Source organism: Homo sapiens, chromosome 11 (assembly GCF_000001405.40).
Source record: "Homo sapiens chromosome 11, GRCh38.p14 Primary Assembly".
Classification (NCBI taxonomy): domain Eukaryota; kingdom Metazoa; phylum Chordata; class Mammalia; order Primates; family Hominidae; genus Homo; species Homo sapiens.
This window is the reverse complement of record NC_000011.10, coordinates 71210888-71236760: the sequence shown is the minus strand read 5'-3', so window position 1 is coordinate 71236760 and position 25873 is coordinate 71210888. Positions and strand designations below refer to the sequence as shown.

Here is a 25873-nt window from a genome sequence, read left to right as displayed (position 1 = left end):
CTGTACAGTTTGTCTCCAAAAAAGCAGTCAAAGGCAATACATGAGGGAATGGACACAGCTGTATTCCAGTAAAACTTTACTTATAAAAACAGGCCTGGGCTAGAATTGGCCCATAGGCGGTCTCTTGCTGACCCTGATTTATTTAGGTCATGGTTCTGTAAGTTGCCTACTGGAACCAGGCTCAAGCTGAGCGTGATCTCGGCTCACTGCAACCTCCACCTCCCAGGTTCAGGCAATTCTCCTGCCTCAGTCTCTGGAGCAGCAGGGACTATAGGTGCATGCCACCACACATGGCTAATTTTTATATTTTTGGTAGAGATGGGGTTTCACCATGTTGGCCAGGCTGGTCTAGAACTCCTGACTTTAAGTGATCTGCCAGCCTTCTCAGCCTCCCAAAGTGCTGGGATTACAGGCATGAGCCACCACGCCCGCCCTCATGTTGGGTTTTGATGCTTTTACTGGTCACAGCATTTTGTGGTTCAACCAGGAGGCATAATGCATTTTTAAATTTTGTTCCTGAATAATTTTGCATGGTGTGTGTTGATAAGCTAATTTCAGTCTGCCCCGTTGCCTTCTCTGGCCATTGAGCTGGGGATGTGGAGAATGAGGAGTGTTCTATGGATGGTGAGACGGGTCCCGAGCAACATCACCCTCAGTCCGGTCCTGCCTTTGAAACAAACAGTGTCCATGGAGGGGGCGGAGGAGGCTGAGCAGGAAGAACGGAATGGCCAGCCTGGCTTCCTCCTGGTCCTGGCTCTGCCGCCAGCACCTGCTGGTCTGGCCTCAGTTTTCTCAGCAGGAGAATGGGTGCATCTGATAAAGTCACATTGCTTCTGGCACAGACTTCAGCAAAGGCAGCCGGCAGGATGGGAGATGGTGTACACACACATGTGAGAGAGTGTGTGCCCATCGTCACGGCAGCCACTCCCCACAGGCTGTGTCACATAGACCTCAGGAGGTGGCTTCTGACAAAAACTGAAGATCGGAGGCTCTTCTGTCCCTGCTGCATGCCTGTACATGGTGGCCTTTTGCCTTCAGTGTTTTCCCCTTGCTCCATGAAGTGGATCCTGAACCCTTGTGAGCCGTCGAGAATGAGAGGTTCTTTTTAGTTCCTTTATGGAGGTAAAATACAGGTAACATAAAGTTAACGTTTTTTTTTTTTTCCCCGAGAGAGAGTTTCACTCTTGTTGCCCAGGCTGGAGTGCATTGGATGGTCTTGGCTCACTGCAACCTCTGCCTCCTGGGTTCAAGTGATTTTCCTGCCTCAGCCTCCCGAGTAGCTGGGATTACAGGTGCATGTCACCATGCCTGGCTAATTTTTGTATTTTTAGTAGAGACAGGGTTTCACCATGTTGGCCAGGCTGGTCTCAAATTCCTGACCTCAGGTGATCCACCTGCCTCGGCCTCCCAAAGTGCTGGGATTACAGGTGTGAGCCACCGTGCCCGTCCTGTGCAAGAGTTTTTATAGAGCTTAATCTCCGGTACCTTCCGGAGCTCAGCTAGTGGGGCCAGAAGTTCCCACCTTCTTAGACACCTGTGTTCCTGGTGACCAGTCCCAGTCTGAGACTGGGGCCCCCCACCCTAAGTCACCTCATTAGCATAAGCTCCAGTGGGGTCAAAAGGGACTCACTTCTGCTACTCAGGAAATTCTAAGGGTATTAGGATCTCTGTGCTGGGAACTGGGGACAAAGCCCAGTGTATTTCTTATCCCACAGAGGATGATTCGTGTTGTAGCGTGGATCAGTGCCTCCTTCCTTTTTATGGCTGGAGATACTCCGTTGTACGGTAGCTCATGTTTCGTGTCTCCATTGTGTGTGGGTGGGTGTTTTGTTCTTTCTGGGTTTTGGCTGTTGTAAAATGTGCTGTTGTGAACATTTGTATACATGTTTCGAATATTAGAGGGGGAGGGTGTGACATTTCCTCCCTCCGTTCATGGGGTGCCTGTGGGGCAGCAGGACCACCCGGCCATGCTCCTCCAGTGCCCGGGACTCTGGAATGAGTGTGGTCACTCATCCCTCCTTGACAGAAGAGGACGCAGACTTAGCTCGAATGCGGGCAGTGGGGAAGGCATGGAAGGGGCTGGGGTCAGGCAAGGTGGGCTGCTCCAGAGACCAGGCCCCTGCTTTGTGGCACCTTCCAGAAAAGGGGACCGAGGCTCGGGCAGGCTGGGTCTGGCTGCCTACAGACAGGCCCCCCGACTCGGAGTCCAGCACGTGGAGGACCAGTCTGGGGCGGGGGGCATTTCCTGTGGGTCCCAGAGCTGTTTCAGAACTCCTCACAATGATGGTTTCCACCTCTGTAAGAGTGATGAGCACCTCCAAAAATAGAGGTGCATCTGCAGGCTAACATTTTGTTGTTATTTATTTATTTATTTATTTATTTATTTATTTATTTATTTTTGAGATGAGTCTTGCTCTGTTGCCCAGGCTGGAGTGCAATGGCATGGTCTTGGCTCACTGCAGCCTCCGCCTCCCAGGTTCAAGCAATTCTCCTGCCTCAGCCTTCTGAGTAGCTGGGATTACAGGCACGCACCACCACACCCAGCTGATATTTTTTTTTTTTTTTTTTTTTTTTTTTAGTAGAGAGGGAGTTTCACTATGTTGGCCAGGCTGGTCTCAAATCCCTGACCTCATGATCCGCCTACCTCGGCCTCTGAAAGTGCTGGGATTACAGGCATGAGCCACCACTCCCGGCTCTATTTATTTATTTATCTTTGAGACGAGTCTTGCTCTGTTGCTCAGGCTGGAGTACAGTGGCATGATCTTGGTTCACTGCAGCCTCTGCCTCCCGGGTTCAAGCAATTTTCCTGCCTCAGCCTCCCGAGAAGCTGGGATTACAGACGTGCACCACCACGCCCAGTTAATTTTTGTACTTTTAGTAGAGATGGTGTTTTGCATGTTGGTCAGGCTGGTCTCTAACTGCTGACCTCAAGTGATCCTCCCGCCTCAGCCTCCCAAAGTGCTGGGATTACAGGCATGACCCACTGTGTCTGGCCTGCAGGCCAACATTTTAAATAGTTCAGTAATTCAGTTATTCGCTACTGGGGGAAGGAGCATCCCCCTTTAACAGATGCCGTTAAAATTTCCTAGAACCCAGTTGCGGATTTCTTAGAGAATTTGTTGAGATATAATTTACATAACATTGTGATTCACCCTTTGAAAACCTGCAGTGCCGTGTTTTTTAGTAAATTAGGGAGATTGTGCAACCATCGGAGTCGATTTAGGAACATGTTTATTCCCCCAATAAAGACGCCAAAACCATCAGCATTGCTCCCCACTCTGATCTTCCCTCCTCTTCCCAGCCCCTGGCAACGACTAATCTGTCTCCCGTCTTGGTGAGTTTGCCCATTCTGAGCATCTTACGTAAATGGAATCGTGCAAAATGGGATCCTTTGTGACTGGCTTCTTTCACTTAGCATCGTGTTACCGAGGTTCATCCGTGTTGTAGCCTGGGTCAGGCCTTTATTCTTTTTGATGGCTGAATCACGTTCCATTTTAAGGCTGGACCACAAGATGTTTATGCATTCCTCAGCTTAGGGATGTTGGGGTTACCTCCACTTTTGGGCTGTTATGAGGTATGCTGCCGTGAACATTCATATACACTTTTTTTTTTTGGTAGAGATGGGGTCTCCTGTACCTGCAGGCTGGCCTCACACTTATGGGCTCAAGCCACCCTCCCACCTCGGCCCCCCAAAGTGCTGGGATTACAGGTGTGAGTCACTGTGGCTGGCCTACATGTTTTTGTGTGGATGTATGTTTTATTATTTTTAGTTGTATGCCTAGGAGTGAAATTGCTGCCTCTCATTGAAGCTGTGTGAAAGTTTTGTTCTTTTGTTTTCCACAGTGTGCTTTTAAAAAGACTTAAAATTTTTACAGTTAACCTTTGAACAATGGAGAGGTTGGGTTCCAACTCCCACACAGTCAAAAGTCCAGGTATAACTTGTGACTCCCCCAAAATGTAACTACTGATAGCCTACTATTTACTGGAAATCGTACAGATAACATAAACAGTCCATTAACACATGTTTTGTATGTTATACAAACAAATAACCTTATCTTAAATAAGGTAGAGAAAAGAACATGTTACTAAGAGAATCATAAAGAAGAGAAAATACATTCACTCCTCACTGAGTGGAAGTGGATCGTAGTAAAGGTTTCATCTGCATTGTCTTCATGTTGAGTGGGCTGAAGAGGAGGAGGAGGAGGAGGAGAGGAGGGGGGAAAGAGGAGGAGGAGGAGAAGGGGTTGGTCTTGCCTTCTCAGAGGCGGCAGAGGTGGGAGAATATCCACGTGTAAGAGGACTTGAGAAGTTCAAACCTGTGTTGCTTAAGGGCCAACTATATTTTTAAGATGATTGCAGTTGTAAGAAATAGTTCAGAGATATACCCAGTTTACCCCCATAGTCTCGTCCTGGGTCAGTACGATAGTATTGGCCGGGATGCTGATGTTGACGCGGTCGAGATTCAAATGCTGCTGTCCACACCAGGACCCCTCATGGTGCCCTTTTATGGCCTGACACACTTCCTTCCACCCCTACTTGCTCTATAAGCCCTGGTAACCACTCATCTGTTCTCCATCTCTGTAATTTTGTCGTTTCAGTAATTATACAGAAATGGAATCACACAGTAAGTAGCCTTTTGGGATTGGCTTTCCCCTCCTTGGTCAGCACAACTTTCTAGAGAGTCACCCAGGTCTTGTGTATCAAGAGTTCTTCCCTTTTTATTGCTGAGTAATGTTCCATGGTGTGGATGTATCCGTTTGTTTAACCATTGAGCTTCTGAAGGCTATCTGGGTGGTTTGCAGTTTTTGGCTATTATGAATAAAGCTGCTATAAACATTAGTGTATAGGTTTCTTTGTCTTTTTTTTTTTTCCTTGAAGACACCTGGCCCTGTCACCCAGGCTGGAGTGCAGTGGCATGATCTTGGCTCACTGCAAGCTCTGTCTCCCCGGCTCAAGCCATCCTCCCATCTCAGCCTCCCAAGTAGCTGAGACTACAGGCACATGCCACCATGCCCAGCTAATTTATGTATTTTTAGTAGAGACTGGATTTCGCTACCTTGACCAGGCTGGTCTTGAACACCTGGGGTCAAAGCGATTCACCTACCTTGGCCTCCCAAGGTGCTGGTATTACAGGTGTGAGCCACTGCACCTGGCCCGTAAACATAAGTCTGAATTTCTGTGGGACGAATGCCTAGGAGTGTGGTTTTTGGGTCACATGGGAGTTACATATTTAGGTTTTTAAGGAACTGCTACACTGTTTTCTGTAATGTCTGTACCATTTTGTATTTCCACCAGCAACGTGTAAGATCCAGGTTTTCCACCGGCAATGTGATTCTTTATTTTCTTACTAGCAATTGGTGTCACCATTTTTCATTCTAGCTGTTTTGATAGGTGTATGGTCATATTTGTTTTATTTGCATTTCTTTAATAGCTGGTGTGTTGAACATCTTTCATGTGCTTATTGCCATCTGTATATCCTCTTGAAAAATGTCTTTTTCTATCTTTTGCTCTTTTAAGTGGATTGTCATTTTTTTAACTGTTGAGCTTTGAGAGTTCTTTATTCTAGACACATATTATTTCGAATTATTTGTTAAATATGTGGTTTGCAGACATTTTTCTCCCACTCTATGGTTTGTGTTTTTCTCCTTTCAGCAGGTCTTTCAGAGCAAAAGTTTTTAATTTGGATGAGAACCTATTTGTCAATATTTTTGTATGTGGATTGTGCTTTTTACATTGGGTCTATGAACTCATTTCCTGTCTCTAGATCCTGAAGATTTTCTCCCATTTTTTCTAAGAGTTGTAGTTTTGTATTTTACATGTAAGTTCATGATTCATTTTGAATTAATTTTTGTATAAGGCATGACCCTTAGGTTGATGTTCATTGTTTTGCTGATGGATGTCCAATTGCTCCAGCATCGTTTGTTGAAAAGACAGTCCTTCCTCCATTGAGTGGCTTTTGCACCTTCATCAGCAATCAGTTGGGCATATTTGTGTGGGTTTTTTCTGGGCTCTGTATTGAGTTCTATTGCTATGTGCCTGTCCCTCCACCAGAACCACACAGCTTTGATTACTATACTGTATAATAAATCTTGAAGCTGAGTATACTGATTTCCTCCCATTTTTTTTTTTGTTTGCAAACTGTTAGTTTTCCTAGTTCTTTTGCCTTTCCATATACTTTCTTTTTTTTTTTTTGAGACAGAGTCTCACTCTGTTGCCCAGGCTGGAGTGCAGCAGCACGATCTCGGCTCACTGCAATCTCCACCTCCCGGGTTCACGCCATTCTCCTGCCTCAGCCTCCCGAGTAGCTAGTACTACAGGTGCCCGCCACCACACCCAGATAATTTTTTGTATTTTTAGTAGAGATGGGGTTTCACCGTGGTCTTGATATCCTGACCTCGTGATCCACCCGCCTTGGCCTTCCAAAGTGCTGGGATTACAGGCGTGAGTCACTGCACTCAGCTTTTTTTAAGGCAGAGTCTTGCTCTGTTGCCCAGGTTGGAGGCTGGAGTGCAGTGGCATCTCAACTCACTGCAACCTCTGCTTCCCAGGTTCAAGTGATTCTCCTGCCTCCGCCTCCCAAGTAGCTGGGCTTACAGGTGTGCGTCACCACACCTGGCTAATTTTTTGTGTTTTTAGTAGAGATGGGGTTTCACCACGTTGGGCCAGGCTAGTCTCGAGCTCCTAACCTCAAGTGATCCATCTGCCTTGGCCTCTCAAAGTGCTGAATAATCTTGTCCATATCTACAAAAAAATTTTGCTGAGATTTTGACTGGAATTGTGTTCATCATCATCACCTGCACATCAGTTTGGGAAAAATTGACCTTCTGACTATGTTGAGTCTTCCAATCCATGAACAGGGTATGTCTCTCAATTTTTTTAGATCTTTGATTTGTTTTCATCAGTGTTGCATAGCTTTCAGCATACAGTTCCTGAATATGTATTGTTAGGTTTATACCTATTTCTTTTCTTTTCTTTTTCTTTTTTTTTTTTTTTTTCTTTTTTGAGATGGAGTCTCACTCTGTTGCCAGGCTAGAGTGCAGTGGTGCAGTCTTGGCTCACTGCAACCTCCAACTCCCTGGTTCAGGCTATTCTCCTGCCTCAGCCTCCTGAGTAGCTGGGATTACAGGCATGCACCAGCTAATTTTTGTATTTGTAATAGAGACGGGGTTTCACCATGTTGGCCAGGATGGTCTCTATCTACTGACCTCGTGATCCACCCACCTCGGCCTCCCAGAAGTGCTGGGATTACAGGCATGACCCACTGCGCCCAGCCAACTCTTTCATTTTTTGAGCAAGTATAAGTGATATTGTATCTTTAATTTTGCTATCTGCATGATTATTGCTAGAGAATACAATTGATTTTAATATGTTGATCTGGTGTCTTGTGACCTTGCTCAACTCATTTATTATTTCCAGGAGGTTTTGGGGTTTTATGGTTGTTTCTTTGTGATTTTTCATGCTGTGTGCAAATAGGGACAATTTTGTTCCTTCTTTTCCAATCTTTGTTTGTTTGTTTTTTTGCCATATTACACTTGCTAGAACATCCAGCTCTATGTTGAGTAAGAATGGTGAGAGCAGGCATCTTTGCCTTGGTCCTGATCATATGGGGAAAGCATTTTGTTTTTATTTGGTGAATCTTGGCTCATGTTTCTTCGCAGATGTTCTTTATCAAGTGGGGGAAATTCCCATCTTGTTTTGGGGAGAGTTTTTCTCAAAGAAAGATGCTGAATTTTGTTAAATGCTTTTTCTGCATTGATTGATATGATCTTTTTTTCTGTTGATAATAGTAGATTACATTGATTGATTTTTTTAAAAAATATTGAAACAGCCTGGCATCCCTAGAATAAATGCCATTTAGTCATGGTATATAATTCTTTTGATATATTGCTGAACTCTATTTGTTACTCCTTTGTTAAAGATTTCTGTGTCTATATTCATGAAGACCTTTGATTTACGTTTGTATAAGGTATCTTCTTTTTTAAAAAATTATTAATTAATTTTTGAGATGGAGTCTTACTCTTGTCGCCCAGGCTGGAGTGCAATGGCACAATCTTAGCTCACTGCAACCTCCGCCTCTTAGGTTTAAACGATTCTCCTGCCTCAGCCTCCCGAATAGCTGGGATTACAGGCACCCACTACAAGGCCCAGCTAATTTTTGTATTTTTAGTAGAGACAGGGTTTCATCATGTTGGCCAGGCTGGCCTTGAACTCCTGACCTCGGGTAATGCAACCGCCTCGGTCTCCCAAAGTGGTGGGATTACAGGCATGAGCCACCATACCCAGCCTGTAATCTTCTTTTTGTGCTCATTTTCTCTGGCTTTGGTATCAAGGTAGTAGTTGCTCCATAAAATAAATTAAGAAATGTTCTCTCCTATTCTACTTTCTGGAAGAAATTGTGTAGAATTAGTATTAATTATTCTTTAAGCATTTCATAGAATTCTCCAGTGAACTCATTTAGGTCTAAAGATTTCTTTTTCTCAAAAAAACTGGAGTTTAAAAATTATGAATTCACTTCCCTTAATAGTTGTAGGAAATGATTCAAATTACCTTTTTCAAATTGGGCAAGGTGAAGTAGTTTGTATTTCTTGAATAATTGCTTTATTTCATCTACATTGTCAAATTTATGTGTGTAGAGCTGATTTAGTATTCCCTTAGTATCTTTTTCATGTCTGCAGGGTCTTTAATGGTGTCTCCTATTTAATTCCTGGTATTGGTAATTTGTGTTGTTTTTTTTTCTTGGTCAGTCTTGCTAGAGTTTTGTCAATTGCATTGACTTTTACAAAGAGTCAGCTTATTGTTTCACTGATTTTCTCTGTTGTTTTTCTGTTTCCTGTTCATTTTTTCCCACTCATATGTTTATTATTTTCTTCCTTCTGCTTGCTTTGGGTTTGTTTGGGTCTCCTTTTGCTAGCTTCTTGAGGTAGGAACTTAGAATTTGATTTGAGATTGTTCTTCTTTTCTAATATATGCTATAAATTTCATGAACACTTGAAAAGAATGTGAATTCTGCTGTAGTACAGTGGAGGAAGGTTCTACAACTATCACTTTGATCTTGTTGATTGGGTATATTACTGAGTTCTGTATCCTTGCTGATTTTCCTGTCCTATTCTATCAATTGTGGAGAAAGGTTTGTTAAAGTTGTATTCAGTTATAAGTGTGGATTTATGTCTTCTTTCTTCAGTTCTATCCATTTTTGCTTCATGTATTTTGCTCCTCTGTTGTTTGGTACACGTTTAGAATAACTATGTCTTCTTGGTGGAGTCCTCTCTTACATTATGTAATGTTCTCTTTGTGGTATTTTCTTTGCCCTGAAGTCTACTTTATCTAATATTAACATAGCCATGACTGCTTTCTTTTGACTTCTGTTTGTATAAGGTATCTTATTCCATCCTTTTACTTTCATCCTACCTATGGCATTATATTTGAAGCAAATTTTTATAGACCTCATTTAATTGTATCTTTTAAAATCTACTCTGCCAATCTCTGTCTTTTAACTGGTATATTTTGACCATTTACATTTAATGCAATTATTGATACATTAGGCCTTACATTTGTTATTTCAGGTTTTCATGTTTCTATTTTTCCTGCCTTCTTGTGGGTTATTTGAACATTTTTAAACATTTTTTAGGGTTCCATTTTGATTCATCTGTAGTGTTTATGAGTATATCTCTTTGTATAGCTTTTTAAGTGGTTGCTCTAGGCATTATATCATGTATACTTAATTTTATCATCTATTGTAATACCAGTTTGAGTGAAATATACAATCTTCTTTGTCTCTTTACCCTTCTCCATTTATACTTGTTAAATATTTGCTCTATATATTTAGAACCACATAGATTATGTTGTAATTTTTGCTTCAACCATCAAATATAATCTATAAAACTTGAGAAGGAAAGCCTATTATATTTGCCAAACATTTTGCTTACCATACTTTTTTCCTTCCTAATGTTCCAAAACTCCTTCTTTTATTATTATTTTTTTATTTAGAAAGGCTTCTTTTTAGCTATTCTTTTAGAATAGGTCTGCCAGTGGCAAATTTCCTTTGTTTCCTTTCATCTGAGACTATCTTAATTTTCCTTTCATTCTTACAGGATATTTTTGTTGGTATAAAATTATGGATTGAGAATACTTTTCTTTCATCACTTGAAAATTACTGTGCCACTTTCTTTTGGTCTCCACAGTTTCTGATGAGAAATGTAAGTATTGGTTTCTCTGCATGTTTTCAATATTTTTTCTTAGTGTTCAGAAGTTTAATTCTGATGTATATTGGTGTGAATTTTCTTGGGTTTATCCTATTTGGGATTCGTTCAGCTTCTGGAATCTGTAGGTTTATATCTCTCAGCAAATTTGGGACATTTTGAGTACTTTTTCAGACCCTCCCTCTCTTCTCTCTCCTTCTGGGATTTCAAACATTTAAAGTTAGGTATTTTATTATTGTCCCATAACTCCCTGAGACTCTGTTTATTTATTTTCAGTCTGTTTCACTCTATTGTTCAGTTGGGATAATGTCTGTTGTTCTGTCTTCCAGTTCACTGATTATTTCCTCTGTCCCCTCCATTCTGCTGTTGAGTCCATCCACTGAGTCTTTTATTACAGTTACTGTATTCTTTAGTTCTATCATTTTCTTTTCTTTTTTTGTAAGATGGAGTTTCACTCTTGTTGCCCAGGCTGGAGTGCATGGCATGATCTCAGCTCACTGCAACCTCTACCTCCTGGGTCCAGGTGATTCTCCTGCCTCAGCCTCCTGAGTAGCTGGGATTACAGGTGCCCACCACCAACCCGGCTAAGTTTTGTATTTTTAGTAGAGATGGAGTTTTGCCATGTTGGCCACGCTGGTCTCAACTTCTAACCTTGAGTGATCCACACACCTCGGCCTCCCAAAGTGCCGGGATTACAGGCATGAGCCACCGTGCCCGGCCAGTTCTATCATTTTCACTTGATTCTTTTTTATATCTTTGGTGAAAGGCACTGCTCTGGTGAGGCTTTCTGTTATTTCATCTGTTTCTAGCATGTTCCTAATTGTTCGTGGAAGCATTCATCATGGTTGCTTTCAACTCTTTGTCAGATCATCCTGACATCTCTGTCACCTCCATGTTGGCATCCATTGATTTTCTTTTTTTCAGTTTGAAATCTTCCTGATCCTTGGTTTGATGGGTGATTTTCTAATGAAACTTGGACATATTTGTATTATGTTATGAGACTTTTAGTCTTAGTTAAACTTTTTTTGTAAGCTAACTTTTCCTGACGCCACTTCCACAAGGGAAGGTGGAAAGGGGTGTCACCTCATTACTGACAGGTGCCATAGAAATCCAGGCTCCCCATGCTGCCTATACTAATGCCGGAGTGAAAGGAGGATTTGTTACTGCCTGGTGGGGATGAATGTGCTAGCTCCTTCCGTTGCTCTATTTGATGCCACGCTGGCAGGGATTTGGTGCTTCATTATAGCCACACAGGGTGGAAATCTAGACTCCCTACTCGGCCTTTGCTGCTGTGGGTGGGGCTGAGGCCACAGATTTTTCTGCAGTGTCTGGCTGGAGTAGACCTGTTGTCTAAATATATTGCCCTGTTAGCTGCCGCTTTCCTAGTCTTTCGACTAAAGAGAATATGCTTTTGTTGTGGTACTGTTCCTGCTCCTGTTGGCTTTTCTGGGTTGCTGGCTTATTCAGCACCACGTCTGGGATGTATGAGGCAAGAAGAAAACCCAGAGAGCTCACACCATGTCCCTGGCTGGTCTGCCTTCTCTCCACCTTGCAGAGTGTTAGGTTTGTTTTATATACAGCATCCTGAGTTTTAGTTGTGCTTTGTGTGAGGAATAGGGAAAAATGTGTCTACTCCAATTGCCCGGAAGCAGAAGTTCGATCCCTGGTTTTTAGCACAGAAATATCAGAATCTACATGAAGTTTTAACATGTGCCTCTCAACAGTCTGTGTCTGACCATGCCCCGGTCTCATTATCTCTCCACAGGTCTGGAAATCTCTCCAGGCACCCTGCTTTGGCCCTCTAGAATACAGACAGTTCCTGCTCTAAGAGGCCATCTGTGAGGCTCAGTCTCCCAACACCTCTGGTGAGTTATAACATTTTCCCCTGTCCTTGTTACCTGCAAGCCAGTGGCCACTGTCTGGGTTTGGTCCACCTCCCCACCTTTGCACTGTGGCCAGGGACTTTAAGTTTCTTGTTGTCAGGCCCTGTGTGCCCTGTGCTTGTGTTTGGGTGGGAAGAGGGTGGATGGCATTGTCCTTGGTGGCCCGCTTGTGTGACCTTGCGAGATATGAAAGGGACTATGCCTCTGGCTACTGGACCGTGCTCTGAGCTGTCCTCACCAGTGTGCCCAGGCTAGACCCAGTCAGGGTGGCTGCAGACAGATGAGTGGTGCAGGTGCTTCCAGCTCCTCTCCGTCATTTTCACATGAACGGGGGTGCGCCTCGTGATGCCCACGTGCAGGGAAGGGTGCAGTGAAGCCCAGGTCTGTGTGCTCTGAAGAGGGCAGATCGTGGGCTGGTGCTCAGTGGCTCTATTCTTGAGCGCCTCCTCTGTGCCTTGCTGGTATCACCTCACCTGTAATGTGCTTAAAGGCCCCGTCTGCCAAGTATCTTATCAACGTTGACGCTGACTACCACCAGCTCCATGCAGAAAGTGGAATTACCACCATTTTCAGTGAGGACACAGGCTCTCAGCAGTTAGATACTTGGTCACGGTCACGTGGGTATTGAGTGGCTGAATCCAGCTTGGCTTGACCACACACTGGGCTCCTGCTGGTATAGGACCCTTGCCTCCTGGCATGGCCTTGTATACCAGGGACCATAAAGACAGATCTGTGTGGTCCAGAGCCCTGTGGGCAATTTCTCAATCCTTCTGAGCTATCCTCACCAACGTGCCCATGCCAGACCCAGACAGTGTGGCTGCAGACAGATGAGTGGTGCAGGCGCTTCCAGTTCCTCTCCGTCATTTTCACGTGGATGGGGGTGTACCTGGTGGTGCCCCGTGCAGGGAAGGGCCTCTCAGCTGCACGGGCCTGCCCAAGAAGCTGCGTCAGATATACTTTCCTAATTGTGTGCACCATGAGATCTTAATACTGTGGAAGGGCCGTACAGTCATCCCTCGGCATCCAAAGGGGATTGGTTCCTGGACCTCCCATGAATACAAAAGTCCATGGATGCTCAAGTCCCTGATTTAATATGGTGCAGTATTTTCATATAACCTAAGTACTTTCTCTCATATACTTTAAAACATCTCCAGATTGTGTATGATACCTAAACAATGTAAATGATATGTAAATGTTTGCTATACTGTATTGTTTAGGGAATAATGACAAGAAAAATGTCTGTACATGTTCGGTACAGATGCAACTAAAAAATATTTCCAATGTGCGCATGGTTGGTTGAGTTCAGGGTAACTGAAGCCACGCATATGGAAGGCTGTTGCTGTGCTGATCGTTTATCTCTGCTTCACCTTCCACCACCCCATGAGAATGCACACCCTGGGGTCCTAAACGCGGCAGGCAGGAGCAGAATGTCGGAGTCACGGCCCCATGCAGGACTACCCTGGTCCTGGCCACCATCGCAGTTGGGCGGCCTCACCTGCCTGGTTTTCCTGTCTCCAGCTCTACAGCTCACCAATCCCGTCTGAAATGCAGTCGGACTCTCTCCCTCCCCATGTTCAAGCCCTTCTCTGCACCTGCATGTCCCTCCAAATCTCTGAGCTCCCTCTCTAGCCTCTGCTGTCACTCACCTCCCAGATGTGGACAAGTGTCCTCCCAGATGGAGGGATGGTGACACGGCTCCGTGGAGGGTGCTCCTGCCTTCCCTGGCTGTCTTGGCTGAGGGCTGGGTCTGTATCCTCCACAGTCCCCCTCGTCTGTGGCCGATGCTGCATACTTGTCCCTTGTGCAGAAGCACTGGCCCAGTACACAGTTCCTCCTCGAAAGGTGTCACAAGGATGCATATGAGAACGTGTGACCCTGCTGGAGAAGGTGGTCCACCCCTTTATCCTAGAGCAGGAGCAGACTGAGAGAGGGAAGGACATTAGTCCCTGTCCACCCAGGAAGGAGCACGTGTCCCTGCAGGCTCGGGGTTGAGCCATAAGATGTTGTCAGCAGTCAGCTGCCTTTGGCTTCCTCGGAGCTTGGACTTGGGGCTTGCTATTTATTCATTCTCTCTCCCGGGGCTGGGGCAGAGCTAACAACCATGGCGTGCATGCGCTTCTGCCTTTGGAAGGCGCCTGCGTCCGGCCAGCTGGGCCTCGGTTCACAGCTGGGACCTGTCTCCCTGAAACTCCCTTCTTAGCTCCTCTGGGAGCTTCGTAAGAAAGGAACACTCAGGCTGTTGGGTTGAGCCTTTGCTTGTCACTCGGGAGCTGCCGTTGGCTCACAAGTGATGGGGAGCGCTTGCTTCCAGAGCAGCAGCCCTGCAACCCTGCAACCCTGGCGGCTGCGATTAATGGGAAGGAGAGAAGGAAAAACTTGTCTGGGCAACTCACGAAGGCTGGGAGTGAATTTGTTTTAGTTTTGTTTTTCTGGCCAGGGCACTTTCAGCCCACACAGTTGGTGACCTTGGGACAGGGGAGCTGTGCTGCTTTCTGGGAAGATCAGTCCCCTCGGCTGGAGGCAGGATGGTGGTGCTGGATGGGGTGGGGTGGGTGGGGTTTTCCTCTTGGGGATGTCGATGATCTGGGAAGCCCAGGCGGTGCTGGTCCTGGTGCAGGGAAGGGTGAGCCAGAATCACCAACCCGGCCATGCTCACCTGGGCGCTTCACCCTCCAGCGGCTTCTCCTGCTTCCTCAGGTGTCCCAGTTCCGCCCTAACAGGAGCCACCAAGGGACCCTACTCCTCAGTGGCTCTCCCAATGTCCTCAGACCCCCATTCATTGATCATGAACATTGTCTTGTGGGCACCTCACGCCCCCGTGCCATGGCTGCAGCGTCATTTTACAGTGGAGACTCCCAGCGCCTAGGCACCTGCAGACATCCTGGGTTTCTAACCTTGTCTACCGATCACCTCCCCTTGCTGCTCAGAAAAAAACTGGAAAATTGCCCTCGAGGGGTAATTTAGTGAGCAGCCAGGGTATCGCATAATTAGTGGCAGAAGGGTTCCACTTAGGAGTAACGGAATTAATTGACAATGTTGCAATTCTCATTGACTGTTGAAGACACTAGATTAGATGAATTTGAAGATGTGGTTTTTCCTGAGGTGTTCTTTGCTATTGTCTCAAATTATATTTTCCACTTGTGGGTGTAATCAGGCACCCCCTAATGATTAATGACATGACCCAAGAGGATATGCTCCAGAGCACCCTCCTGGGTGGGGAAACAGGGGATCAAGCGGCATTTGCCAGGGAAGGACTGGGGTGAGGACCCTGTCCTCTGCACCTGCGCTCCGGCCACCGTCTCCTGCTGGGCACCCACTGCCTTGTGCCCAACCAGAAGCTGGCAGACTGTGGTGTGAGGGTCCAATCCTGCTCATTCCTTGTTTTTGTAAATGAAATTTTGTTTTTATTTTTAAAGTCTTAGCAAGATACACATAATACAGAATTTACCATCTTCATCTTTTTTTTTTTTTTTTGAGATGGAGTCTCACTCACTGTGTTGCCCAGGCTGGAGTGCAGTGGCATGATCTCGGCTCACTGCAACCTCCGCCTCCCGGGCTCAAGCGATTCTCCTGCCTCAGCCTCCTGTGTAGCTGGGACTACAGGCGCCTGCCACCAAGCCCGGCTAATTTTTGTATTTTTAGTAGAGACAGGGTTTCACCATGTTGGCCAGGCTGGTCTTGAACTCCTGACCTCAAGTGATCCACCTGCCTCAGCCTCCCAAAGTGCTGGGATTATAGGCGTGAGCCACCGTGCCTGGCCCATCTTCACGATTTTTAAAGTGTGCCATTCAGTGGCATTAAGCACATTTATGTGGCTGTGCAACCATCGCCACCAACCGTCTCCAGAACTTTTTCGTCTTTCCAAACTGAAACTCTGTCCGCATTGAACCCTCCCTCCCCATTCCTCTTCCCCAGCCCCTGACAACCCCTATTCAACTTTCTGTCTCCATGGATTTCCCCACTCTAGGAACCTCATGGGAGTGGGGTCATGTGAGATTTTGTGCCTGACTTCTTTCACTTAACGTAATGTCCTCCAGGGTCATCCACATTGTAGCATGTATTGGAACTTCATTTCTTTTTAAGCCTAAGAAATACTCCTTCTGTGAATGGACCACACCTTGTTTATGCGTTCATCCAGTGGTGGACACTGGGTTGCTCCAACCTTTTGGCTGTTGTGAATAGTGTTCTGTGAACATAGGTGTGCGGATATATCTCCTCAAGATATCCACCCGTTCTTTCAGGCATATACCTACCCCCAGAAATGGAATGGCAGGTTCATATGGTTTTTTATGTTTAGTTTTTGGAGAAACTGCCGTACTGTTTTCCACAGCGGTTATACTATTTTACATTCCCACCAGCAAGGCTCAAAGGTTCCAATTTCCCACATCCTTGCCAACACTCGTATTTTGTTTTGTTTGTTTGTTTGTTTGTTTGTTTCTGTTTTGAGACTGGGTCTCACTCTGTCACCCAGGCTGGATTGCAGTGGCACAGTAAGGCTTACTGCAGCGTCGGCCTCCCAGGCCCAAGCAATCCTCCTTTCCATCTCGGCCTCCTGAGTAGTTGGGACCACAGGCATGTGCCATCATGCCTGGCTAATTTTTAAATTTTTTTGTAGAGATGGGTGGGGGGGTCTCACTATGTTGTCCAGGCTGGTCTTGAACTCCTGAGCTCAAGCAATTGACCCACCTCAGCTTCCCCAAGTGCTAGAATTACAGGTGTGAGCCACCACACCTGGCCTGTTTTTGTTTTTGTAAATTTTTAATTTAATTTAATTATTTTTTGAGATGGAGTCTCGCTCTGTTGCCCAGGCTGGAGTGCAATGGTGTGATCTCAGCTCACTGTAACCTCTGCCTCCTGGGCTCAAGTGATTCTCCTACCTCAGCCTCCCGAGTAGCTGAGATTACAGGCACCCACCACCATGCCTGGCTAATTATTTTATTTTATTTGTTTAGTAGAGACGGGATTTTACCATGTTGCCCAGGCTAATATTGAACTGGTGACCTCAGCTGATCTGCCCACCTCAGCCTCCCAAAGGGCTGGGATTACAGGTGTGAGCCATCACACCTGGCCTGTTTGTTTTTTTTGTTTTTGTTTTTTAAAATAGCCATTCTAGGGGGTGTTGATGTGGTATTTCATTGTGGTTTTGGTTTGCATTTTCCTATTGATTAGTGATGTGGAGCATGTTTTTATGAGCTTATTGGTTATTTGAATATCTTCAGAAAAATGTCTATTCAAGTTCTTTGCCTATTTTTGAGTTGTTGGATTGTATGAGTTCTTGATATATGCTAGATGCTAATCCCTGGTCAGATGTGTAATTTGTGATATTTCCTGACAATCTGGGTTCTCTTTTGTGAATAAAGTTTTATTGGCACCCAGCCGTGCTCATCTCTTTCCACGTTGTGTGTGGCAGAGTTGAATCGTTGTGACAGACTGCATGCTCTGCAAAGTTGAGAGTAGTTACCAGCTGGACTTTTACAGAAAATTTTGTGGGCCTTGTTCTAAATGATCTCAGCGCATTGCCTAGAACCATGCCACTTTTCTCTGATGTGATTCTGAGAAATGCTCTCTCCTCATCTGGCTTCTCTAAATGCTGGTATGTGGGACATTGCACGTGATGGTGTCCTCGTGGTCTGAAGCTTGCCCACAGAGCCTTGGGTAAGCTCCGTTACATTCTTCTGCGATGTCTGTGTAGGATGCTGACCACCTGTGGGGTGCACAGATGCCACTCTCTCTGGGTGCCCTACAGAGAAGGCTGCTTGGGACTCCTTCCTGCTGGGGGCTGCAGAAGAGGGAGGCATTCAGGCACAGTCTCCAGCAGTGCTGGAAGAACGAGGCTGGGTTGAGTGGCAGGACAGCAAGTCTGGGGCTTCCTTCCCAGTTAGTTACGCCCAGTGCTGTTTATGCTGCCACTGCAACTTGTGTCTGGTTCAGGGGTCATTGGATTTTCACGTGAGTCTTTCCCATCGAGAGACCTTGGAGTTGATGGAGATTGGGTGTGTAGGTGTTCTGTGCTGATGTGGACAGCTGGGTGGTGAGAAGGTAGCGATGAAGGTTCCATACCCTGCCCTCACGCTGCTCATCCCTGGGCACCACAGATTCAATTTAAAAATAGAACAGCCCGGTCCCGGGGGCTCACACCTGTAATTCCAGCACTTTGGGAGGCTGAGGCGGGTGGATCACCTGATGTCGGGAGTTTGAGACCAGCCTGACCAACAAGGAGAAACCCCGTCTCTACGAAACATACAAAATTAGCTGGGCGTGGTGGCACATACCTGTAGTCCCAGCTACTTGGAGGCTGAGGCAGGAGAATCGCTTGAACCTGGGAGGCGCAGGTTGCGGTGAGGCAAGGTTGCACCATTGCACTCCAGCGTGGGCAAGAAGAGCAAAACTCCATCTCAAAAAAAAAAAAAAAAAAAAGAAAAAGAAAATTAGAAGAATTTCTTCAATAATAAATTGACTTTAGCTTACTGTAACTTTTTTATTTTATAAACTTTTAATTTTTTTAAAAAAATACCTCTTGGCCGGGCATGGTGGCTCATGCCTGTAATGCCAGCACTTTGGAAGGCTAATCACAAGGTAAGGAGGCGAATCACAAGGTAAGGAGATCGAGACCATCCTGGCTAACACGGTGAAACCCTCTTTCTTCTAAAAATACAAAAAATTAGCCGGGCGTGGTGGCGGGTGCCTGTAGTCCCAGCTACTCAGGAGGCTGAGGCAGGATAATGGTGTGAACCCAGGAGGCAGAGTTGGCAGTGAGCCAAGAACGCGCCACTGCACTCCAGCCTGGGCGACAGAGCGAGACTCTGTCTCAAAAAACAAACAAAAAACCTCTTGACTCTTTTGCAGTAATACTTAGCTTAAAACACACATTGTCAGCTATACAAACATTTTGTTTCCATATATCCTTATTCCATAAGCCTTTTTCTATTCAAAGACTTTTTTACTTTTTAATTTTTTTGTTAAAAACTAAGACACAAATCCACACGTTAGCCTTGGCCTACGCGGGGTCAGGATATTCAATACCATTGTCTTTCACCTCTGCATCTCGTCCCACTGGAAGGTCTTCAGGGGCAGTAACATGCGTGGAGCTGGCATCTCCTGTGATTACAGTGCCTTCCTCTAGAACATCTGGAAGACCTGCCTGAGGCTGTTTTACAGTTTACTTTTTTTTTTTTGAGACGGAGTCTTGCTCTGTTGCCCAGGCTGGAGTGCAGTGGCATGATCTCGGCTCACTGCAGCCTCCACTTCCAGGGATCATGTGATTCTCAGCCTCAGCCTCCCAGGTAGCTGGGATTACAGGCGCGCCACCGTGCCCAATTAATTTTTGTATTTATTAGTAGAGGTGGGGTTTCTCCATGTTGGCCAGGCTGGTCTCAAACTCCTCACCTCAAGTGATCCACCTGCCTTGGCATCCCGAAGTGCTGGGATTACAGGCATGAGCCACTGCACCTGGCCCCTAGTTTACTCTCTTATTTTATTTTGAGACGGAGTTTTGCTCTTGTCACCCAGGCTGGAGTGCAATGGCACGATCTTGACTCACTTCATCTTCTACCCCCCGGGTTCAAGCGATTCTTCTGCCTCAGCCTCCCAAGTAGCTGGGACTTAGAGGCATGCACCACCATGCCTGGCTAATTTTGTATTTTTGGTAGAGACGGGGTTTCACCATGTTGGCCAGACTGGTCTCAAACTCCTGACCTCAGCTAATCCTCCCACCTCAGCCTCCCAAAGTGCTGGGATTGCAGGCGTGAGCCACTGCACCCAGCCTCTTTATTTTTTAATAAGTAGAAGGCATATACTCTAAAAAATATAGTAAATGCATAAACCAGTAACATAGTTTTTTCTTATTATTGAGTACTATGTACCTACAAAATTGTATGTGCTAGACTTTAATTAGATTGGCAGTGCAGGAGGTCTGTTTAGGCCAGCAGCATCACAGACGCGTGAGGAATGCATTGAGCTACGACGTCCCTGGGGCTGTGACCTCACTTGGTGATAAAAAGTTTTCAGCTCCATTGCAATCTTATGGGACCGCCATTGCATACACAGTCCCTCCTTGACTGAAATGTTGACAGCAGCACGTGGCTGTATTTTCAGAGTGGCGCAGTCATCACCCAAATCAATATTAACATTTGTGAAGAGTAATCTTTTTTTATATTCCCCCCCAAAACCTGTACCATTAGAAGTCACTCCCTCCTCCTGAATCCCTCTAACCAATCACCTCCGGCCCTGGCGACCACAAATCTCCATTTCATCTCTACGGATTTGCCCATCTGGGACAGTTCATATAAATGGAATCGTATAATACATGACCTTTGTGTCCATCTTCTCACTCAGCATCATGTTTTCAAGGCTTGACCACGTTTAGCATGATTCAGTGATTCCTTCCTTTTAAAGGCTGAGTGATACTGCACCATATGATACAGCATCTTTTTAATCCAATATTATGTTTATCACATGCTGGACATTTGGGTTGTTCCCACTTTTTGGCTTTTACACACTTGGACATTCTTGTACAGGCTTTTGTGTGGACGCGATTTCGTTTCTCTCGGGTAGATTCCTAGGAGTGGAGCTGCTGGGCCGTGTGGAGTCGTGTGTCCCTCAGTGGAGGAGGGACAAACCATGTTCCAGAGAGTGGCTGCGCCGTTGGACCTCCTCTCCAGCGTCGGATGAGGGCTCCACTTGCTCCACTCCCTTGCCTGCTTCTGTTCCCATCTCTCTTCTTGGTTATCTTCATCCTGGAGGGTGGGGGAGGCGCTGTCTCATTGTGGTTCGAAAGATTTGATTTGAGCATCAGCAATGTGCCCAAGGTGGTGGTAGGTGCTGCGGGAGCCTGACTCCACTCCTTGTCCCTAAAAAGGTTGTGGTCTGACTACAGAGTGGGGGTGCCGCTTCTGGGGTGTCATGTCTGGGTTTTGCTAAATAATCGTGTTTGCAGAGGTTTGAGCTCCTGAGCTGGCACGCCTGCAGTGTGTGCAGGGAGAGAGGTGTAGATGGATGTCCGAGGACATTAGCAGGGCCCTGAGTGGGAGCCACTGTGCCACGGATGGCTATGTGGGGACACCTCCTCGGGGAACAGTTGGGGCTGTGGCCTTCTGCAGGTGCCTGCCTGGGAAAGGAGGTACATCCTCAGCAGGCCTTCCTTGCTTTCTTTTCAGGCCTGACCTCACGTTCGCTCAGGGGGCCTGTCTTGGCAGGAGGCACCATCTGAAGCTCCCTCGGTGCCTCTGGGACCTGAGCCCTGCTGATGGGCAGCCAGGGGTGACCAGGGCAGAACCTGCTGAAGGCTTCATGGGAGACACAAAGCCTTGAGATGACAGAGTGGCGTGTTCAGACAGGGTGAGGGGAGCCAGGGAGGCCTCAAAAGTACAGACGCAGGGGGCAGGGGGACCAGATGTTACTTGGTGCTGCCCCTGCTGAGACTGTGGTGGACACCGAGGCTCAGAGAGAGCGTGGGCCCTGCTGCGGCTCCAGGGTGAGAGCTGGGGCCTGTGGTTCTTTCCAGCACTCGGATGGCATTAAGCTGCACTATCACGAGGGGTTTTGATGAAGGACATCGCACATCGGGGCATGCCTGCCTGATGGTGTGAGCGTGTGGGCTGTGGGAGAATGGCTGGTGGAGGGAGCTGTCCGCTGAAGGGAAAGCCCCATGTACCTGCAGCACAGCCAGCTCCTCTGTGTATGTGGGATCCAGGAGGAAACCGCCACGCAGCCCTATTCTGTTCTCCCTCCCTGCCGAGAGGAGGATGTGTGGAAGGCGGGATGCTTGGTGGCCTTCAATACCTGGAGACCAGAACGAAAGGCTGTGGCCACCCCCAGGCCTCCCATCGAGCACCTGCTGGTCTAGAATGGCCTTTTGTGACCCCACTTCACCTTCTTAGCAATTGCACGAGAGGACAGCTGCATGGGTCCCAGTCAGAACTGCGCGATACCCCACCCCAGAGGACAGGGCAGCCCGGGGTGGCACGCGACAGATGTGTGGGTGGGCACTTGGGTGGGCCAAGGGTCTGACAGTGATGCCCCCTTGGCCTGACTCCAGTTAGCTTCTGGCCAGACTTGCTGAGACAGCAGTGGGACCCTGAGCCAGACCCATCTTCACATTTTAGTCTCCCAACCTAGCAGGCTGAGCAGAGATGACACTTCTTCGGAAACGTGTGGTTAGGGAAGGTCGTTTTCTCAAGCAAAGCTGATGGCGCTAAATCACGATGTCTTTTGGCTACAGAAGAAAGAAGTCCCAGCTGTGTGTGTTTCGGCTGTGGGTGGAAAAGAAGGGAGGGTGTCCCTCTAGGGCCTGGGGAGCCCTGGTTTGTTGCTGGGAGGTCCAGAGGGGAGCCAGCACGCGGTTCCTCACCTGCGTGGAAACTGTCTTCCTTGCTGCGTCTGTCTCATTTGTGCTGCGGGATTTTAACTGATGGAGGTGGCTGAGTGAGGACAAAAAGATTTCCCAAAAGAAGGTTTTATGGCTTACATTTCCCAAGAGCAGGGGGCATGAGCCCTGGGGCCACAGGGGAAGCCCCAGGGTTTGGTCAGGAGGCAGGAGGTGGGAGGAAACTGAGGCCAGACCCTTTCTGGGGGTTTCTGTGAGAGAGGCAGGGCCAGGCCAGGTGAGTCACTGCAGCAGGCCTGGGGCTGTAGGGGAGGTCTTTGCTTGCCTGGCACCTGGTCCTGGGGCGCGTTAGGGCAGGGGTGGTTCATATTGGCTGGGTGAACAGGAGTTGAAAAAGGGGTGGTTGGCTTGTGCATGCGAGTGCATGGTAAATGGCCCAAGGAAGCCACTTACTGTCTTTGGGAACTAGCCAGCTCTGGAAGGGGCGGTCTCTCCCAGTGTCTGCGAGGCTCCCCTAGATGTCAAAACGTCCTAAGACAGAAAATAGAAGACATGATTAGTCCAGTTTGCTTATCAGAAAGGCCGTTCCTCTGTGTGGATGGAGGCGGCAGGCTGGCAAGAGCCAGAGAGGGAGATGACATGTTTGTAGAAGGAAGATCAGCCCGGTGCTCAGGTGTGGCCACCACCTTTTCCCACAGGGAGTCAGTTTCCGAGTGTGGGGAACATCAGAAGGAGACCCTCAGAGTTCAACAATGCTATTTAGGTCTAATGCCCCACATGGCTCGTGCAGTGATTAAAAACAATTCCAGAGCACAGAGGACAGAGTCTGCGCTCTCCTCTGTGTGGTGTTTGAACCTCTGTTTTACAGGAAAATGGACTTTGAGTTAAAAACCTTGCCCCTGGGGATTTATCCAGAGGGAAGAGTAAAGTGAAACTGTGATCATAAAGATGTCCAACTTGGCACTATTTAGGATAGTGAAAGGTTGGAGCAAACTGTGTTTTCCAGAATAGAGGGACGAAAGAGTATGGTAATCTTGGCGTCCTCACAAAATACCAGACAGTTGTTGGCAGGCACAGCTGTGCAGGCTGCTGGCCGTGTGGGAAATATCTGCCTCTGTTGTGAGAGCCTCCCTGTGCCTGGCCCCTCAGCTGCTAGGAGTCCCTGCTGTCCCGGGAAGATTCTCCTTTTCCACCTTTGCTTGTTCTCTGTAAAGAACCTCAGCCCTTAAGCCCCCTGGACTTACCTGGGTGGCAGCAGCAGTCCTGCACCCTGCAACGCTGTAGAAATGGGCACAGTGTCTTTCGGTTCCTGCTCCTCTTCCTTTGCCTCCACCTGGGGTCCCTGCTCCTCTCCCTGTGCCTCCCCCTGGGGTCCCTGCTCCTCTCCCTGTGCCTCCGCCTGGGGTCCCTGCTCCTCTCCCTGTGCCTCCGCCTGGGGTCCCTGCTCCTCTCCCTGTGCCTCCGCCTGGGGTCCCTGCTCCTCTTCCTGTGCCTCCACCTGCTGTTCCGACCTGGTTACCCAGTGAGGGAAATGGGGAAAGAAACCTCTCCTACCAGAGCAGGGATTCCTGGTGGCAAGAACGTCCTAAAGCTTTGCAAAGCTCTGGTGTTTGACGTTGAGGAAGTGGATTCATGGAAACTGCTGGAACCCTTTGAGGACTTGGATTGAGTTTATTCATCCAGGGAACAGGATTGTGTTCAGCATGCTCATTTCTATAAATCCTTCCATCTCGGCCAAAGATGGTCTCATCATCTTAGAGCAATGACAGCCCTTTCTCGTGGAATGGGCACGTTTGCTCTGTTCACTGCAGCCCCTGGAAACAGCCACATGATGCACATGGATGCTCACTGGGTGAGGACGAAGATGATACAAGAGGAGGAACGAGGCTTGTTTTCCCCAGAATGTCTTTTAAGTCCTAGGAAAAGGGCTGTGACATTTTGCTTTGGCTTTAAAGCCAGGTCTGAGAACATTTTTAGGCATGTTATTTAAATTGCAGATTTTAAGACCTTATCTATAGGATATCAGATTCAGTAGGAATCTGTCTTTTTAGCTGTTTTCCCAAATGAGTCTTCTGCATGCCACGCTGGTAAAACTCTGCTTGAACCATGAGGAGTCTCTAAGACCCAACTGTAGCATAAGAGAGCATTTGTACAGTTAACATCCGGTTTTTAATCTCTGAGCTTCCTGGCAGCCAGGGCAAGAAGAGAAAGATGGAATAACAGAATTCTTTTGTCTAATATCAGTTCATTTGGAAAGCAGACTTTTCTTGGTGCTCTCATCTAGGAAGAATTTTTTCATGCGACACGGTGTTTGCAGGTGGGGTTTTGCAAAAAACAAAATGGTTTCAAATATCTTTGACCTCAGTGAAAGCTGAAAACACAGTGAATAGGCTTTGAGGTGGACGTTAAGCCAGAGTCGTTCCAGTGTGTTCCCATCTCATATTTTGAAGTGATTCAGGCATGCAACTTAAAGAACCATGCACAGAGGAGATCTGGACAACTGCAAAGCTTTTCTCAAAAGAAGTGAAAAAAAGAATGAAAGAGAATTGACTCACCATACATCATGTGATTCCATTTATATGAAATGCCTCAAAGTGGCCAAGTTATATATAGAGAAAATAATTAGTGGTTGGGGAGAGACTGAGGGAGAGGATGGGGGAGCTTGAGGAGTGATGGCTAAGGGATACAGGTTAATTTTTTTTTTTTTTTTTTGCAAATGCTCAAAAATGGATTGTGGTGATAGATACCCTACTCTGTGAACTCACTAAAACCCACTGAATTATACATTTTATTTATTGTATTTATTTATTTTTTTTTGAGACAGGATCTTGCTTTGTTGCCCAGGCTGGAGGGCAGTGGCACAACCGTGGCTCACTGCAGCTTTGACCTCCCTAGCTGAAGTGATTCTCTCGCCTCAGCCCCCCAGGTAGCTGGGATTACAGGCACACACTACCATGCCTGGCTAATTTTTATGTTTTTGTAGAGATGGGGTTTCTCCATGTTGCCTGGGCTGGTCTTGAACACCTGAGCTCAAGCGATCTGACCTCCTCGGCCTCCCAAAAGGCTGGGAGCACTGAGTTACATGCTTTAAATGAGTGAATTCGATGATGTGTAAATTTTAAAATCTCAATGTTTTTTTCCAAAAAAAAAAAAAAAAAAAAAGGAAATTGACCAATAGGACACAGTGTGCTGGACTGAGTCCAGGGTTGGGTGCCAGGGAATATGGAGTAGCCACGGGGCCTGTGGGTGTCTCAGGGAGCTGTCATCGTGAACTTGGTAAGGGGAGCAATTAGGGCTGCAGCAGCCCTGGGGGACCCCCCTGAAACAGGACCCTGAGGGGTCAAATGGCAGGATCCTGTCAGCGGTGCAGATGGACTGAACTGGAATACACCCCTGCCCTCTCCTCATGCGTCTGTCTTGGACCTGTTATGTTTCCCCAAATCCGTGAGGATGAGGGGAGTGCCGGC

At 46.9% G+C, this 25873-nt stretch overlaps 1 protein-coding gene across 19 annotated transcripts in view, besides 1 other annotated feature; it reads left to right on the top strand.

The window, feature by feature from the left end:
* SHANK2 (SH3 and multiple ankyrin repeat domains 2) overlaps positions 1-25873 on the top strand; it is a 785381-nt gene that overhangs the window by 16474 nt on the left and 743034 nt on the right. For 17 of the 19 annotated variants that reach the window (NM_001441030.1, NM_001441032.1, NM_001441038.1 and 14 more), the window contains one exon: positions 11965-12064. The exons of the other annotated variants lie outside the window; for them this stretch is intronic. The gene's annotated coding sequence lies outside the window, so the exon portion shown is untranslated. The remainder of the gene's footprint in view (positions 1-11964; positions 12065-25873) is intronic. 19 annotated transcript variants of the gene reach the window in all.
* Positions 21345-21926: an enhancer, noted in NCBI's record as "H3K27ac-H3K4me1 hESC enhancer chr11:70925881-70926462 (GRCh37/hg19 assembly coordinates)". NCBI's record gives its function as "activates a minimal SCP1, AML or CMV promoter by ChIP-STARR-seq in naive H9 embryonic stem cells {active_cell/tissue: H9 hESC(naive)}" and the evidence as "EXISTENCE:reporter gene assay evidence [ECO:0000049][PMID:30033119]".